Raw genomic sequence first — 18,338 nt, forward strand, 5'->3', positions numbered from 1 at the left:
TCATTCTACTTGTTTCTTTTTGGATAGTCTTTTCTTCTGGCCATTTTTAAGACTTCTTTGTGTCTAGATGTGTTTGAATGTCAACTTGTTTTTATTTATTCTGCATGGAAGTTGGGCTTTTGGACTTTGAAGATAAGTGTTTTTCATTAACATTCTAAAGTTCTGAAAATTTCTCAACTTTTATTGCTTGGGATACTGTCTCTTTCATTATTTCCCTGTTCTGCTTCTGGAATCCCATATATTAGATCTACTCGCTCTATTTTACCTGTCTTTTTTATTGTTATTCTACATACTTCTTTTTTTATCTTCCTACACTAGATTCTAGATAATTTTTTAAAAATTTTATTCCTGTTCTCTCCTCAGCTATTTTTAATATTCTACTGTGTGTATATGTGTATTTATGTGCGTGTGTGTGTATTTGCATGTGTGTATATATTATACATAGAACAAGAGATAGTTCTAAATTTATTTTAATTATGTATTTTTATTACTGAAAGTTATTTTTATTATTTATTCTGTTAGTATAGTGTCTTGCTCTTATTCATCTTTTTTATTCCCCCTTACTTCTTTAAAAAGTTGTTTAAATGTATTAGGTATCACTATTTTCTGTGTATGTCTGATAATTACAACTGCTCAAGTTTTTACGGATCTAATTCTTTCTTATTTTGTTGCTACTGACTCTGATTTATAGAGCAAACTGGAATAATGTTCTCAACATTATCACATTCTATATTGAAATACTCTAATTTCTGCTTTCAACTCAGAACATCTTCAGACTTTGTATTAAAGTATTGATTTTCAAACTTCCTTATTTGTAGAACCCTTTTTAAAAGGAAGTTTTACACCACACAATAATATATACATTTTAAAGTTAATTTTATTCATATAATTGCTTTACATAAGTTTAAAACATTTGTTACACATTTAATCAGATAAGTCTATTCTAAGGAATATTTTTAGTGAGTGCCTTCAAAAAGCTTAAACATTTGTCAGATGGCATAATGACTAGTTGGATGGATGATTTATTTAGAGAAGCTCGAAAGGTTCAATAAATAGCACATAGGGAAAAAGTCAATAGCAAACCACTTTACTTTAGCACAAACAGGAGAAAGTCCTCTTAAGATGACTCTAAGGTCAGATAATCACCATTACCCTTCTCTAACCTTCATCTGTTGCTAATAACTAATTCAATCACACACAAACAAAGTAATAACATTTGACACAAACAGAATTAATAACTTCTTTTTTCACTTGGAATGTTTCTAATTTAGTAGAACTAATATGAAAATGCAATAGTGCATTTCTTAAAAACAAAACATAATCAACAGGACTCTTAATTTTCAGCTTTAATTGCTATTTTTATTGAGTTCACTTTTGGAATTTACCATTTTTTAGAAGAATAAATTCTAAATAACTTTACTATTGTCATTCATAGTGTATTAGGCTTGAAACGCTCAATGATAGGAAGCCATGCACAAATAATTTGATACTGTTAATGGAACAGCCTCATTAATTCAATCAAACAAGTTAGAACTATCTCAGTTTGCTCAAAGCTGACAAATCAATATTAAATATACAGACACAGCTTCAGAGAATTGATTCTACTCCTCCTACTCTTAGAATCATTCCAGGTATAGGTGTATTATTCTGGAAAGAAACCCAACACACAAAATGTTAACCTCCAAAACCACAAAGCAAGCATGCAAAGGGTAATATTTCTTTTTTCAAATTTTTATCTACAATTGGTTTCCCTCTTGGTACTTGGAATGCTCTCCTCAGCCAGAACATTTAAAAGAGTTTGTTTTACAAAATTTTATTTACAGGTTTTTTTTTTTTCAGACACTTTTCAACTATGTAAAGCAAAGTAGACCTGAATCAAGAACCAATGTAAGACAAGATTTACCTGACAAGGATCTTGATTAACATTTCACTTTTGATAAATTTGGTCCTTCCCTGGGAATCCACAGAAATATGCTCCTCATGTTAGGTAGTGAGATAGACATTAGCAGCTGGGAAGGGGTAAGAGAAGAGAGCAGAAAAGCCATCTCTAAAACTGCATCTGGCCCACCTAAGTTCAGCTCTGGAACCACCCTAACTCCACCCTAACAGATGGAGTTTTTGGTGGAGACTGTATCCAGCACATCTTATAGAAAGAGAAACTAGAGCACAAGTGGAAATCCCCCAAAGTAGCACATGCCCAATAACCTAAAGCTCTATCTTGGAATTGACCCTAGGCTCATGATACCATTATTATAATAAAATTTACATGTGGTTTTTGCTCCCCTGAGTGGGCATTGTTTTAAAACAAATTATAGGTAAAAATATGCACAGTTTAATTTTAGCTACATAAACATAAACTGCCAATCAAATGACATCATCCTGTCACTCAAACACAGCCCAAACCTCAACTGCTCCCCAGAAACCCATAAAAGGACCTCAAGTTTTGTAAAGAGGTGCTGATCTCACTTCACAAAAATAAGTCTGCTCTCCCTCTGAGAGTATATTTCTATGCTTCAATTAACTTTGCTTTAAGCTTGCATTCTGGAGTTAGTCTGCAATTTTTTTGTTTACTCTCACAAGAACTGAGATTGCTGGTCCAGAGCTCCAACTCTGTTCATCTCCTTGGTTAAAGAATCCATTCCAATGCAGAATTCCCACTGACACATCACAGGATCAAATGTTCTGGTGGCCACCCTCTTGCAAGGACTTTTCTTTTAACTACTCCTGACATACTCTATTCACCACCTCACAACTGCTAAGTATTCTTCCTTCTTGCCTTCAGCATTCTTGCCTACGGAATCATCTTCAAATTCATGGTCAGATACTTTAAATGCTTAAGAGGATATTCTTGAATATCCTTATATTCTATTATTCAGTTGATCTGACTGACACAGTTTCTTAAACTCAGTTTAAGATCATTATTTATAAAGCTACAGGGAATAACTAGTTACTGTGACTTCTCCCTTTATTGACTCTAAATACCACATTGTGATTCATTGTTGTAGCTCATGATTTTTAAGCAGTAATATTCTGTGATTAAAAAATAATTTCCAGCCATTTATGATTCAAAATTGGTTGCTCAAGGAATGAATTTCATAAAAAATAATGACTGTAAGTGCCTCTGTGAATTACTTTTTTAAAAAAATATTTTAATCCTATCCTTATTGCTGTGAAGAAGAGACTACAGGAAGAAGCATGTGCTTAATGACCAGAAAATGAGTCAAACCATTGATGTGAAACTGAGCAGCTTAATTTTGTTGGTTAATGGTGAGTAATGCACAAAACAAGCCAATGACTAAAATATATCTTAGGGAGAAGAAAAAGACCAACATGATTTTATTCCTCTGAAATTATAACATCATAATCCATCTTTGCAGCAAAAGGGTCTCTAGAAATTATTACACACATTCCTTGATCATATACCCAGATTGCTTCAATCAGCTAATTAGACAAAGCCATTGTATAGTATTTTCAATCTTTATTTCCAAATCAGAGTTAAATTTGCTTCCTACGTCAGTGTGACTGGCAGCTCCTCTGTCACCCTCAATCTCTAAACTATTGCTTCTAATTTGGAGTTGCCTGAGAGACCCATTTCTGAAAAGGAGGCTTTTACCTACAAAGCAGTTTATAGCTTCTTTGATTTCAGTGCAACAAAGCTTTCGACTCTGCTTAAAATGGAAATGATTATTTCTTACAGGAAAGAAACGAGTGAACCCCTGCTGGGGGGAAAATGTTTTCTTGGAAATACTTTTATAAACTTGGTAATTAATGGCAGTAAAATTGCTTATTTAAAACTATGACCTTTTCAAAGACATGCTGAATATGCTCAAATTATCCTATACTTGTAATCATTTTTCAAATTGTAGTTGAAGTTTATTTAAACTATTAAATATACTACTCTGACTTTTGTCCTACGGATGCTTATCTTAGCCCCTCTGAATATTTTCTTACAACTAATTTCCCCAAATTTCTTCCACTCCTCAAATTATTCTTTCTCTCTCCCCTCCACTTCTCTTCCCTCCACATTTGGTTTCTTATATTATCTTTTGATATTACATTTTATTTTTCTCCACAAAAGATGAATGTATGCTTAATTCACCTGTGAAGTCTCTCTTTAAAAAAAAAAAAAAGCTTATTACACACACTGGTTACTCTAATACCAGATATCAGCACCCTCTTATTACCTAGCTATCTTCACTAATTGTTTAAAGCTTGTCAAGTGTGGTAAAACAAAATGCAGCCACCTGCTACTCTTTTTTTTTTTTTTCATTTGGGTTTTATGGCTTTCTGAGACTGGTATTACCAACTTTGTCATAGGCTTTAGAGTCATATCTAAAGTTTACCTGAGAGTTAAACTTCAGTATACTTTATTTCTTTATCACATTTTGCTATTATATCTCCTCTTTTACTCCACACATCCTTCTGCTTCTGACCACAGTGGGTGATAGACTGCCAATTTAAGGCATAATATAGTAAACAATTTGGGAGATATTATTTATAATAATAGTATCATGAGTGAAGGTATGTGGCTGGCAAAGAAGCAGTTAAGATTATAACTGATCTAGATCTAGACCAGCATTTGGGTTGAGTTAGTCAAGGCCAACCAGAATATTTTTCAAGGCTGCCCGTTAGCAGAAAAAGTCTTCAAGCCAGGATACCAGTTCAAGGTAGGAAGACGCAGGGTCCAGGGTCTCTAATACTTGGTCAGAGAGCTTTCAAGTAGAGACTTGCTAATAACTTAGAGATGCATATCCCAAACATTTCTTCCATGAAACCACAGCCCCATGCGGTTAGGGCTTAGTGGTCAAATAAATCTGCAAAGGGCTGAATGCTTTGTTCCAACCATAGAAAGTTGTGCACTTTAAAATGTGAAGATGCTGAAAACTCCTGTGCTTTAGAACAATTCAATTTTTGTAGCTTTTCTCAAACCTATTTGACCTATTGACTGTCTTTGAAGGAATACTCTTTGGAAACTAGAGCCTAGGATGTATCCTTGCCACCTCGTCTCTCAGCTTCATAACTGGTCCCCAAGTTCTGTAAGCCACACGGTTCATTCCTCAAAAAATCCCTTGCAACTCTTCCTTCCTTCCAGCCACCACCCATGTTCATGTCAGTGGTTCTCAATGTCAACAGAAGGGAGGAAAGATGGAGATAGTTCACATCAACAGGAGAATGTGTAGTTTCAAAAATCAAAATTAAATATTATAACGTTTTATTATAATGTTTTATTATAATGTTTTATTTATCATCAAACTAATTTACTTTATTTCAAAGTTTCCAAAAGAATTAAAGGGAATGAGATTAATTTTATATATCCAAAGACAGATTCAATTTTAAAAAGTTAAGAAACGTTAACTTAGACCTTTATGATGCCCTAAGCATCGAATCAGACTTACTCTAAACTATTTTTCTTCCCTCCAATGTACCAGAGTCACCCTCAGCAATGCAATTATCTGAAAAGAAACAAATGAAAAAACTTGTACTCATTTTGACAGACTTTCTGGTATGCCATAAAGATGCCAGGGGAAGGAAAGCGATGCTCCAGAAGGACCAGTTGCCTTACCTCAGACAAGACAATTACTGCTAGGGACCTTAGTCTTCTCATGTACAAAATGGGCATTCGGGATTAGAGGAATCTCAACCTACATGAATTCAACATCTCCTCTCTACTCAAAAATCTTGAATGTATATATACTGCTCTCCCCGGTGCTACCTATAGAACAAATCTACCTTTTGGCTTAGGTATTTAAGACCTTCCAAATCTATTACAAATCTATCTTTGTAACCTTTTCACTAATCCTCACCATTAACTTTCTGCTCTTGTCCAATTTTTCAGGTAACTGTTGCCTGAATAATTCTTGCTTGTTCTCATCACAAAGCCTTGGCTTATGACAGTCTTATCTCTGGAAACTTCCTTACTACTTATTTCTTTTCCAACACCTACCCATCCATATCTTATTTTTTTAGGATTCAATTCACAGAGCACATTCCCCTGTGAACTTTCTACAATTATTCTGAACAATGGTAATTTCTTCCTAACTGATTTTCTGTACCAAAAAAATTTATACTATTATTTGATCCTTATAATGTAAGATCTTGTGTATTTAAGTATGTTTTATTTCTTCCAATTAAGTTGTGTGAGTGCCTCTGGGGCTAGAAATTTTTATGCTTCAATGGCTTTCTCATAATGCTTAGTAACATGTTACCCATAGTCAATAATCAATATTTATTAAACTTTGGATATTAATTAATAATGAAAGATCTGTAGATTCATAATAGATTCCATTTATATCAAATTAGATACTGCATTACAAAAATCAGAATGGAATACTCTTAGTAGGCTGTGAGAAATTTGGTTCTATTATTTTAAACTACTACACTGAACTTTCTCAGTCACCTAAATTATCCAAAATGGAAACTAAATTCAATTTCTTTGTATCTTCAAATTTGAAAGGACTTTCTACTTTTCTTGATTCAAAAATATGTTCAAATGTATAAAAACAGGAAAAGAAGAAACAGATTAAGCAGAAATTCAATTAATTCAAGAAGTGATCATAATGATACATTTATAATTCTTTCACTTTTGCTTAACATATCTTTATGTTAAAATCATCACATCTTAGAAAGAAAACATCTATAAATATTTTATTAGTATTTTTTGGACTCTGGATTTGTGTCCAAAGACGTTCTTTAACTAGCTGTACTTATCAGCTACCTAAAAGTCCTGTCCCAATCATGTTATATCACATTTTTAACTTGTCTGCTTATTCATTTTTGTATGTTTACTGTCTCCCTCTCCCTACTCCCAACTATAATGTAAGCTCTGTGACCACATGAACTCTGGTCATCACGATCACCCTCATGATCAGTAAAGTCTTAGTCACTTCGCTGTATTGTCAGGGTTTGTGTAGGCATTTAGTATTATATACATTCATTGAATAAATAAAATACTTGCCTGAACTACAGCAAATAATTTTTTCTCTCTTGGCTTCAATTGTTGCCCCTCTAAAAATAGAAAAGTTTATCTATTCCAATATTTTTATTATTATTATTTGGAGACAAAGTCTCACTCTGTCACCCAGGCTGGAGTACAGTGGTGTGATCTTGGCTCACCGCAACTTCCACCTCCTGGGTTCAAGCAATTCTCCCACCTAAGCTTCCCGAGTAGCTGGGATGACAGGCACCCGCCACCACGCCCAGCTAATTTTTGTATTTTTAGTAGAGAGGCGGTTTCACCATGTTGGCCAGGCTGGTCACAAACTCCTGACCTCTGGTAATCCACCCACCTCACCTTCCAAAAGTACTAGGATTACAGGCGTGAGCCGTCGCGCATGGCCTATTTTGATGTTTTTTAAAAATGTGTTTCTCCAAATCACAAGGTTCATTAGAGCTCTCTCAGAGTGTGAAAGGGGAAACCAAAACAAGCAGTGGTCTAGGCTGCCTACTGCCCTCTCAGTAGGGCAAATCGTTTTTTATCCTGGGGGTGCATGTTGAGGAAGGAAGATGGTTCTAAGTAAGATTTTGCTTTTACAATGTTTTAAAGAAACTTCTAAACTAGATTATTTCCATAGATCTTTCCAGAGTCCAGGTCTGATTTACAGATTATGTTTGTAGGTTTGTTTTTGTTATTGTTGTTGTTTAATTTCACATGCTTGGAAAAACACTGAAAAATAATTATCCTCTCTGATACTGTGCAAACTTTAATCTAGAAGTGATAGCACATGTGTCTTATCAAAAGACAAAATGCCCTGTGTATCTGGACCAGTCTGTAGACCTTTTTATATGGTACTGAAGTCCCCAGTATTGATTTCCGGCTGGTGCTCATGTCTGCTACTTCTTTGCCTGCTTGCTCAGTTCAGATCAAATATTGAAACAACCATCCCAGTGATAAGGATCAAGTAGAAATAATGTATCTAGAGCAGCCATTCAGTACTTGTTGAGAAACTAAGAAAAATGCTCAGCTATCTTTGATGTTAGTAAGAGTAATGTTGCAGTAGAGTGCCTGCTGAATTGATTCTGTTACTGTTCTTACAGCGGTGACTTGACTTCAATTACTGCTATTGTTGTTATGATTATTATATATTTATTCTAATTTTTATTACAGTAGTTGTTTCACTGATGCTTTTGACAATGACATGAAACTAACTGAAGGTACAGAACTTGAATATCCTTGAAACCAGTTTTGTCTTAAACAGTTGAGAAAGCACTCTGCCATTTTTCTTAATTGTTTTTGGCAAAAACAGTATAAAATAAGTAATACTTTTAATTTAGCAGGTATTTTGATGGAGGAAAGTTTAAGTTTTTCATTGGGTCATATTTGGCAAAACATTTTTGGTAAAATGAGCCACACAGCAAAAATATTTATGAAATCTGGAACAATCTGAGCTAGTATTCAAACTGCCTATTTTTGTGAATACCAAGAACAACAACTACTATTATTATTGAGCAGATATTAATATCACACATTCACTAGGTACTGTTCTAAATTATATCATTTAATTATCACAGCAACCTTGTCAATTGAGTATCATTAGCTACTATTGAGATTCAGAGAAGTTAAGTCAGGGGCCAAAAGTCACACAGCCTTTAAATCGTCCAACCATGTTTCCAACTCAGATATAGCCAACTCCTTAGCCTGTTCTTTGCCTATATTTCAAGGCCTTAAAACTGATACTAGAATTTTTTAATTGACACAGGCATTGCCAGTCCAAGAAACAGAAACGGAACTGGTAATGAGACGTCCTGAAGCAGAATTTACCATGTAAAAACAGGAGACTTTCTCTTGCTGAATTCCCTATTTATACCTTTCCAGAATTCTTGGGAAAGAAAACAAGTGAAATTCATCAAAAATTTACCATCTCATTACTCTATTTTCCCAATTTGTGAAAATAAAAAATCATTACAAAGTAATTAGAAAAGCACTACAATAAGCCAGTTAATTTCTTCTGTTGCTAATTGAAATCAAGAAAACAAGAAAAAAAGTTAAAGTAAAGCATACAAATAAGAAGATGAGTTAAGCATTATTGAGTTTGTCCAACATAAAATACTAACATAGAGGAAAATACTATTTTAGGAACAGTATTATAGAATCCTTCTAAAGATAGAGCATGTAAATATTTGATTCATAATTCAAATAAATGATTTTTAAATTCTGGTTGAGTTAATGCCATTTTCTAAGAAATGTGAACAGTAACTATTTGTCCTTTTTTCCGATCAGAAAAAAAGAAAATTGCTAACCAATTAATTCCAAAGCAATTTCAGTTATCTGCCCTTTAAGCACTATCATCCAACCTCTACTGATGATTTCAGAGACAGAGAAGAGTCTCATTAAGGCAAGGCTCTTAAAACTTTTCTTAAAGGATAATTATGATGGGAGAATCTCATAAGAACACAAGAACCGAATGGTCCGGTGTGAAAAGACTTTTCTAAAGAGGAGCAAAAATGAAAATAACAATAAGAATAAAAGCCACCGATAGATTATTATAGGCTAATTTAACTTTGGTAGATATTGCCACCTTTTTTGGTTATTGCTATAATTGCTTATATCTTAAATAAGACTGGGTTTTAGAGTCTGACTTTTTTTTTGCACCAACATTGTTAGTAGCAGCCAATCTAAACTTCTTACAACAGGCTTTTGAAAATTCTTTAGAGATAAATGCTTAGATTACTTAACTAAATAGAATCTCTCTCTCAATCTCACCCACCACCCCAACACACACACACACACACACACACACACACACACACCATTTTTTTCTTACATTTGTAATTAATTTTTCCCCCGAGATGAAAAATGTCCAATTCTAAAATGACATGGCTTATCTGATAGAAAAGTACTCTGTGGGATGATTCTTAGCTAATGTAACTTTACCAACGATGGGGGTTCAACAACTAAGTTCATTTAGTTATGCAATTATTTTTAAACAGTAACAATTCCACCAAATTTTTCCCCATGATCTGAATCCTCAAATCACAATATGATAGAGAAACTCTGGTATTCTCTTGGAGTCTTTCAAAATTCTCAAATATAAATTAAGTTTAATCAGTTTGTAATTAATGTCTACATTAATAAATATATTTTAAGTATATGCATGTATATGTATAATATGCAAACTCTTAGGCGACTAAAGGAAATACCATGTGAAAATGTAATTACTTAGGATTCTATAATTCCCAAGCTATTACTAGGTTAGTTTGGGCTCATATTCCAAAATTTTAATCAATAAATAAATTTTAGGAAGATGGGATTTATTTATTTAGTAGTATTTAATTCATTTATTCAAGAAATATTAACTGCCTACTCTGTCACAAGGAGAAACTGTTGAACCACAAGGGTGTAAAGTTACAGTTCTGTCCCGAAAGAATTTAAAATCTAGTAGGAGAAAGACGTTTTAAAAAAACTAAAACACGATTTTTAAAAAGCAAAAAATAACTGTCAATAAGAACAACGAATAGAGGAAAGTACTTCATCCTTACACGGGTGGATAATGCATACCTGCCCAAGCCTGAAATCCAAGGAAGCTTTTTTTAGAAAATGTGCTAAGTTAAACATTAAAAGATACACAGATGTTGTATAGAAGCATCATTTCAGATACAGAGGACAGGGCAAGGCAAAAGCATTACAGCTTGAGAAAGCTGAGAAGATTCAAGTTACCAAGGGTAGTACTTTATGTTTGGGGTGGAAGAACATGATTGGAAATATGAGATAAGACTTAAAGACCCGAGAGAAACAAATCATGAAGTGCTCTGTTTGTTATACTAAGGATTTTCTATTTTATCCCGGGGAAGGCTAGGTGATTTTAATCCCTAGAATTAGATTTCATTAGACTAAGTAAAAAAGGAAGAGAGGGCGGGAAAAAATTCACAGGTAATGGGAAAACTGAGTACCAGAAATGAAGGCCCCAGTTAAACTCTGTCAGCAATGACAGAAAGAAGAAACTAGATTTGAGAGCTATTTTGAAGGTAAACCTAATAGGACATGGTAGAAAACTTGATGTTGGGGATGAAGGTGAGAGAAGGGCCAAGGATAACAGCCTCATTTTTAGTTAGGGTGATGGAAGTCTAGCCATCCTATTCATGGAGATAAGTAATTCAGGTGAAGAAGCAGGTATTGGGGAGAATGATGATGAAATCAGACATGTTAAGGTTAAAATGCCTTAGGAAAATTTAAGTGTGCTATCTTATAAATAGATGAACATGGTCTGGATTGAAAAAAAAAAAGAGTTCTAAGTTGGAAACTGTATCAGTCTGCTAGGGCTTCCTAGAATACCACAGATTGGGTGATTTAAACAACAGAAATTTATTTTCTCACAGTTCTGGAAGCTGGAATTTCAAGATCGAGGTGCCAGCAAGCTTGCTTTCTGGTGAGGCCTCTCTTCCTGGCTTGAAGACAGACACCTTCTCCCTGCGTCCTCACATGGCCTTTCTCTGTGTGCGTGTGCTCTCCTGCTCTCTCCCACTGCTCATAAGGACGCCAGCCCTATGGGATTAAGTCCCCAGTCTTATGACCTCATTTAACCTTAATTACCTTCCTAAAGGCCCTGTCTCTACATTCAGTCACCTTGGGAGTTAGGGCTTTGGCATATGAGTTTTGGGAGAGGACACAATTCAAAACAAAAACGTAGATTAAACGACAGGACAGACATGATTATCATCATTTTACAAATGGAAAGGCTGAGGTTGGAACTGTTAAACTGCTTGTACAGTTACAGAGAGAGCATTTGAAACGAACTGATAGAGTGAAAAGGACAATTATACCTGCCTATAAGGTACAACCTGAACAACAATAGCAACAACAGCATAACATAAGTCAACAGAAAATTAGCACAAGGATAGGTAAATTACATAACATAAGTCAACAGGAAATTAGCCAGGTAGGTTGTGGAGGCCTCATAGAACAACACCAGTTTCTTACTGAGTTTCCAAAATGAATGGGATTAAATGGTCCCAGCCAACTTTAGGGGACAAGTTCTTTTATGACAACGAACGAGAATGCTGCAGAAGTTTTCTCAGGACATCAAACACAACTCCAGATCTTATGGATAATGTCCCAGAGAACCTTTAATACCTTTACAGAATGAATCTCACTGTTTGTGACTCTGAAGAATGAAGGGAGAAGCACCTGCCCCAGCTGTGATTTGAAGCTGAGGTTCCAGGGAAACTAGGTATTTCAAAGCCAGCTTCGCCTTGCACCTATAAACCTGCCTCTCCAGCTGTGTTCAAACACATGAATTGTTCACTGCGCAATATGATGATTATCCAGCTTTCACCAGAGGGCTGTGCAAGAACAAAAGGCTGAGGGGTAAAGGGGAATTTTATTATTAGTTTGCTATTCTTATGAAACATTCATATAGCAAAGGAATTGCCTTGCTGTTAAAAGAAATTTTGTTAAGGAAACTTTATGAAAAAGATGCTTACATTGCCTTTAAAGTAACTATATGGGTATTTAGAAGAAAAAAGAGAAATTTTTTAAAAAAAGGACTGAGCTGGGCACTCAGTTCAGAACCACATTTTCAAAGAGTAAGGGAAACTGTAGACACCTATTGAACTAACTTAAAATTCCATGAGCATGGATTCCAGCATTAATTATATATCAAGCAAAATTTATTTTATTACAGCACATGTGCTGATGTTAGAGACTTCCCATTTCTTTTCTGCTACATTTTGAGTTATTTTGAACCCCAGGCCCAGTTAAAATGGGTAGTTCAAGCACATCTGTTGCATGTGCACAGTTCATCAAGATTCTTAGGTTCGCAAATGCAATCAGTGTATTGCTTTCAATGTGGCCTCTTCTCCCATCTACTCCCCCAATGCCACCCACTGCCATTTGTCTAAATAAACCAAGGAGGCCAGACCCTTTGAAACTGTGATGTTGGTCCCACTTTCTCAAGTGAAGAAGGGGTGGAGGAGAAGTGAGTCAGGTGTATGATTTGCATCATCAGAATAGATCCCACAATTCTATTATTTTAGTGGGCTGTGTAAGGGAGAGAAAAATATCCCTGTTTATCAATATTTCACACAAAGTTATATTTAAGGCTGGGCATGGTGGCTCATGCCTGTAATCCCAACACTTTGGGAGGCCAAGGCCAGATCGCTTGAGCCCAAGAGTTCCAGACCAGCCTGGGCAACACAAGGAGACCCCACCTCTACAAAAAATTTAAAAATTACCCAGACGTGGCGGCGCAAGCCTGTGGTCCCAGTTACTCAGGAGGGTGAGGTGGGAGGTTCAGTGGAGCCTGTGAAGTAAAGGCTACAGTTAGCCATGATCACACCACTGCACTCCAGTCTGGGTAACAGAGTGAGATCCTGTCTCAAAAAAAAAAAAATATATATATATATGTATATATATATTTTTATATACACACACACATATATACATTATACATATATACGTATACATATATAAAATATATCTATGTATGTATAAAATATACATATGTATACACACATAAATACATATAAAGTACATATACATACATACATATACACACACATACATACATAGAAAGTTGGAAGCCTTTGGAAAGAAAGAAGGCAACCTGGAGAACATGAGACTTCAGAGTGTTAGGAACCAGGAAGCAAGAGAAAAAGATTAAAGGAAAACAGGGCAGGAAGGTGGCAGAAGATAATTCCTAGATTGCATAAGAGTCTCGGGCTAACCCCTCAGCTGGTATCCATGTTAAGACATCAGGAGGTGGCACAGCATAAGGCTAAAGAGCAAGGGCTGGGGAGTCAGACACACTTGGATCTGAATCCCCAGTCCACTGGGTGGATGACTTTGGGCAATTTACTCCACCTGCATGAATCACAATATCCTCCCTCATCTGTGAGAAGGAAGAAATCATATGACCTGGAGCTGAGGTAAGGATTGCCTAACACAGCTATGCAAAATGCTCGGAAACACCTGGCACAGAGTAAATGCTTGATAATTTCATAAAAGAATAAAATTATAGAGCCCCGGAACTGGAAGGCAGCTTACTAAACCTCACCAATGCCAACATTTGACAGAGAAGGAAAGTGAAGAACCAAAGCATGCAGGTTCTTGCCAGAGTTGGTGAAAGTAGAAAACAGTCTTTCAAATCACGTTTCAGTGGATTTTAGAACACAGAATATGGTGCTTTGCAAGGAGCCCTGAGTTGTTGTCCAGAAAGCTGGGCTCTTGTCATAGGTCGTTGGCCAAATTTCTCGATCACTCAGTGTCCTCACCTAACAAATGTAAGGGTGGGAGAAATTTCCTCAAAGTATTGTTCAGCTCCATGCTCTTGTAATATTATCCCACTGAGAATATGAGTATAATTATACTCAGGGAATGTGTTCAGCTGGAGTGGGAAGGACAAGGACTATTTGGAAGCCCAGGACACCACAGAAGAGAGCAGAACAAGGTGGAGTTTTTGACAAAGGAGAAGTGGCTGGAGCCAAGGCTTTCTTGGGGATCAGGAAAGGAGAAAACCAAAATGAGCGAAAAGGGAGGTGGGATACAGGAGGGCCTCATAGATACCTGTGTCTTCCAAAGTGTGCCCAGGGCTAAAATTCCACCTGTTTCTTTTGCTTATATAATTAACAAGCATATACGGAGTGTAGTGGGGGAGGGAGAGAGGGGTCACTATAAGCTATTCACAGCAGAGTGCTTAATTTAGAAAAATGATAAATAAAATAACTTACACTAAAGCAGTAAGTGTGTTTTGTAATGTAAACAGGACAGTCCCTTCTCTTAAACCCCATTATTTGATAAATTTAACATGTGAACATGTTACATGTTAACGTGTGAGTAGGCTGGAACATGTGAACATATGTTACGTGTTAACATATGAGTAGGCTGGAAGGAGTTTTATGTATTTACATGTAGCCTTGAGGTAGGAGGCAAGACTTAACTCCAGATGTGGGGCTCAGACATTGGACCAAATTGAGGACTAGTTAAAACAAGAATGGGGCAGAAGAAGCTTTCTGTAAGTGTGTGTGCCAAGTCAAGTTTGCCATTGCCATGACAACACCCAAATGCTACTGCTCCTTTCCATGGCAGCAACCGAATGACCTGAAAGTGACCATACCATTTCTAAAAATTTCTGCATAATTCACCCCTGAATTTGCGTATAATTAAAGGTGGATATAAATATGACTGCAAAACTGCCTCTGAGCTGCTAGTCTGGGCACACTGCCTATGGGTAGCCCTGCTCTGCAAGGAGAAATACCTCTGCTGCTGCTCTACATTGCTGCTTCAATAAAAGTTGCTAACACCTCTGGTTCACCCTTGAGTTTTTTATTTTTTTATTTTTTTATTTTTTATTTTTTTGAGACGGAGTCTCACTCTGTCTCCAGGCTGGAGTGCAGTGGCGCAATCTCGGCTCACTGCAACCTCTGCTTCCCAGGCTCAAGCAATTCTCCTGCCTCAGCCTCCTGAGTAGCTTGGACTACAGGCACATGCCACCACATCCAGCTAATTTTTTTTGTATTTTTAGTAGAGACAGGGTTTCACCATGTTGGCCAGGATGGTCTCGATGTCTTGACCTCGTGATCAGCCCACCTAGGCCTCCCAAAATGCTAGGATTATAGGCATGAGCCACTGCACCTGGCTTGAATTCTTCCCTGGGTGAAGATCCCTCCCAGATTAATCACCAATTTGGGGGCTCACCTATCCTGCATCAGGCTCCCGGGTTGACCACGTTTTTCTGTGAGATGAATGTAAGGAGCTCTGATTTCTTATTACAGGTGCAGGAAACTTCAGGGAAACTTATCTGCTCAACATAGTTTTTTCCCTCCATAGCTACCAGCTGACCCTGAGTGCAACACTGTTGTGTAATAGAACTCTTCATTGTAGGTTGTTTACACAAACAGATACCATCTATAGCTAATTTTAAGCTTATCATTAAATATGTGACTGACCATAACTGTTAAGGATTTTACTTAATTATCATGACAACTAATTGTGATAGTATGTATATACTCATATATATGCAGTGTTAATAACCTATTGCAAAAGAAACAAGTTTTTTTTTAAATACAATTCATTGCTTAGCCATGCTCATCCACAAATGAAATCAAACAAAATAAGCCCAGATCTGGAAGAGTAAGTGGTGGAGAGGGAATAAAGAGAGGCAAAGAGAATGATTTCAGCCTAACTCTCAAGAGTTTTGGGTCAAGGTTCCCCAAAATTCTACTGCCCCAGAATAAGATCCCCCTTATTCGGCATCTTAGGGCTTTTCTCACCTGCAATGCAATCAGGACACTTCCTGAAGCTGCACATTTCTTTCTGACTCTTAGATTTTTAACTGTCTTGGCTAGTTTTTATTAAACTAATTGAGCATAGTAGGTCTCAAAACTTTTAACGATTTAAAAAATACTACCTTTTCCCTTTCACATTCCCTAATTAAAACCAGGCTAGATTCTATAGTTTCATCGTATATACTTTTGGACAACAAAAAACTTCAACCCATCTTGTCCAATTTAAAACTTCGTTTTCTTCTCTAATTTGACAGATACCTCACCCACCCCATCCACCCGCCCCCCGCCACCCTCGCACCCCTAGACTCCAATACTAGCCAAGATCTAGCTTAGGAATAGAAGATATGATCTGTTATTTCACTCTTCTTCTCTTTCTTTTTTGGCTGTAACTTTTCTTAGCTAAGAGTGGGAAGAAAAGAGAAAGAGAAAAGTGACCCTCATACTTGATAGGGCAGGAATTGCAATCCCCTCTCTGTGAGCGCAGATTCTCCACCAAGGCCCACTGTGGGTTCACGGTCAAAGCTGGCTACCTTGGGGTTACCATGGGTGAGTTCTTTGGGAAGCCTTGGAGAACCTCCCCACCAGGAGATTTGGCTCTGGCTCAACCTCTACCTATAAAAAGAGTGGAGCACATATAATTACCTTTTATGAGTTTATTTAAACCTTGAGTAACATCCACCCTACAAACCCTTGTTTTGTCAAACTGCAGGGGTGCAAGAATGCAGGTTGCTTCTTTGCCCCCCCTTTTCTCCATCCTGGCCTTGCTTTTTCTTCATGTTCACAGAAGCCTAGGGAAAATCAACAAACTCTCTTTCAGAGCAGAAGTCTAAACTGGGGTAACAGTCTCTTATTGCATACACTCAAATCACTATAAATGGCTCAGATTGAGCTTCCTTCCCCACTGGACTTTGAAAGGATAAGTGGACATCGTGGACTCACTCTATTCCTCACTGGGCTAATGACTCATGACTCTCAAACACCCCCACCTGCAAATATGTAGAGGAGATAATGCACATAGCCATTTTATCCATTTCCTGATAACCCTTGAAGAGTTATCTGACCCCCAGTTGGTTTTTCGTTTACTTGTTGTTGTCTTCTTGTTGTCAATGTTTGCAACACTCTTGAAATATAGGATAACTATTATCTCTTTTCTTCAGTCTTAGGTCTTGGTAGCCAACTCCAGAGCAACAAGGGAAAGTAACACTCAATATGCTAATACAGATGCTTCCTCATCCAAAGCCATTGGCCCCTTTTCAGCCACTTCAGTCCTCAAATATTACCATTAGGGTAGAGCCGAAGTTTTTAGTTCCTAAGAACAGCCACATGTACCATCTCCTTCACTGCCCTCAGCCATCAGACCCTTTGTTTAGCCCTGTGTTATGTAAACCCTAAAAAAGTTTGCCTTTGCCCTGTTGCACTTAGTACTGTAACATTTTTACTCAGAGAGCATCTCCTATCAGATACTCAGACACTTGGCTAGACAAAGCAACAGATGGTACATAGGCCTATTCACACTTTTAAATGAGTCAAGAAGTATGTTAGTAGTAATAAAATAACAACAGAATTTTAGCAGTGGCACAGAATATACATGTCCAAGTAAGCTGGATCAAATCATTTTTGGAATATCTTTTGGGACTTTTTATGATCCACGAAAAAAGACATGTTAATTACTTTTATAGTTTTTTTTATCTGAAATATTATACTCAAATTGACTATTCATCTAATTCACCAGACTTGGCTCCAGATGACTTTTGTTTATTTTCAGTAATTAGATTTGCCCCAAAATATCCTCAGGGATACCCCCCGAGAATGTTTAAAAAAATGTGCTTTCCATTCTAAAGGCAACTCAAACAAACAAGTGGAAAAAGAAAAGAAAAACAAAGAAAGTTGGCATATTCATTAGTTTTTACCATAGCAACAAATAGCCCCACAGTTTCAGTAGCTTATGGCAACAAAGATTTATTTCTCATTCATGTAGGACTCAGGCTGCAGACTTGCTGTCGTCCTGCTTGGCTCCACCTGACTGTGCATCAATGCTCAGCTTGGCTCCACATTGTCTTCTCATTCCAGGACTAAAGGAACAGCCTCCTACTGGGACATGCTGTTCTCCAGGAAGAAAG

The 18,338-nt window shown here is 36.7% G+C and overlaps 1 protein-coding gene across 16 annotated transcripts in view; it reads left to right on the top strand.

Annotated features, from left to right (window-relative positions):
• PIK3C2G (phosphatidylinositol-4-phosphate 3-kinase catalytic subunit type 2 gamma) overlaps positions 1-18,338 on the top strand; it is a 483,857-nt gene that overhangs the window by 222,702 nt on the left and 242,817 nt on the right. Inside the window, exon 20 of one of the 16 annotated variants that reach the window (XM_017019478.3) lies at positions 3,176-7,661. The exons of the other annotated variants lie outside the window; for them this stretch is intronic. Within the exon in view, the coding sequence (XP_016874967.1) occupies position 3,176 (1 nt within the window). The 3' untranslated portion in view covers positions 3,177-7,661. Of the gene's footprint in view, positions 1-3,175; positions 7,662-18,338 lie in introns of those variants that run through there. 16 annotated transcript variants of the gene reach the window in all.

This window comes from Homo sapiens, chromosome 12, assembly GCF_000001405.40.
Source record: "Homo sapiens chromosome 12, GRCh38.p14 Primary Assembly".
Taxonomy (NCBI): Eukaryota; Metazoa; Chordata; class Mammalia; order Primates; family Hominidae; genus Homo; species Homo sapiens.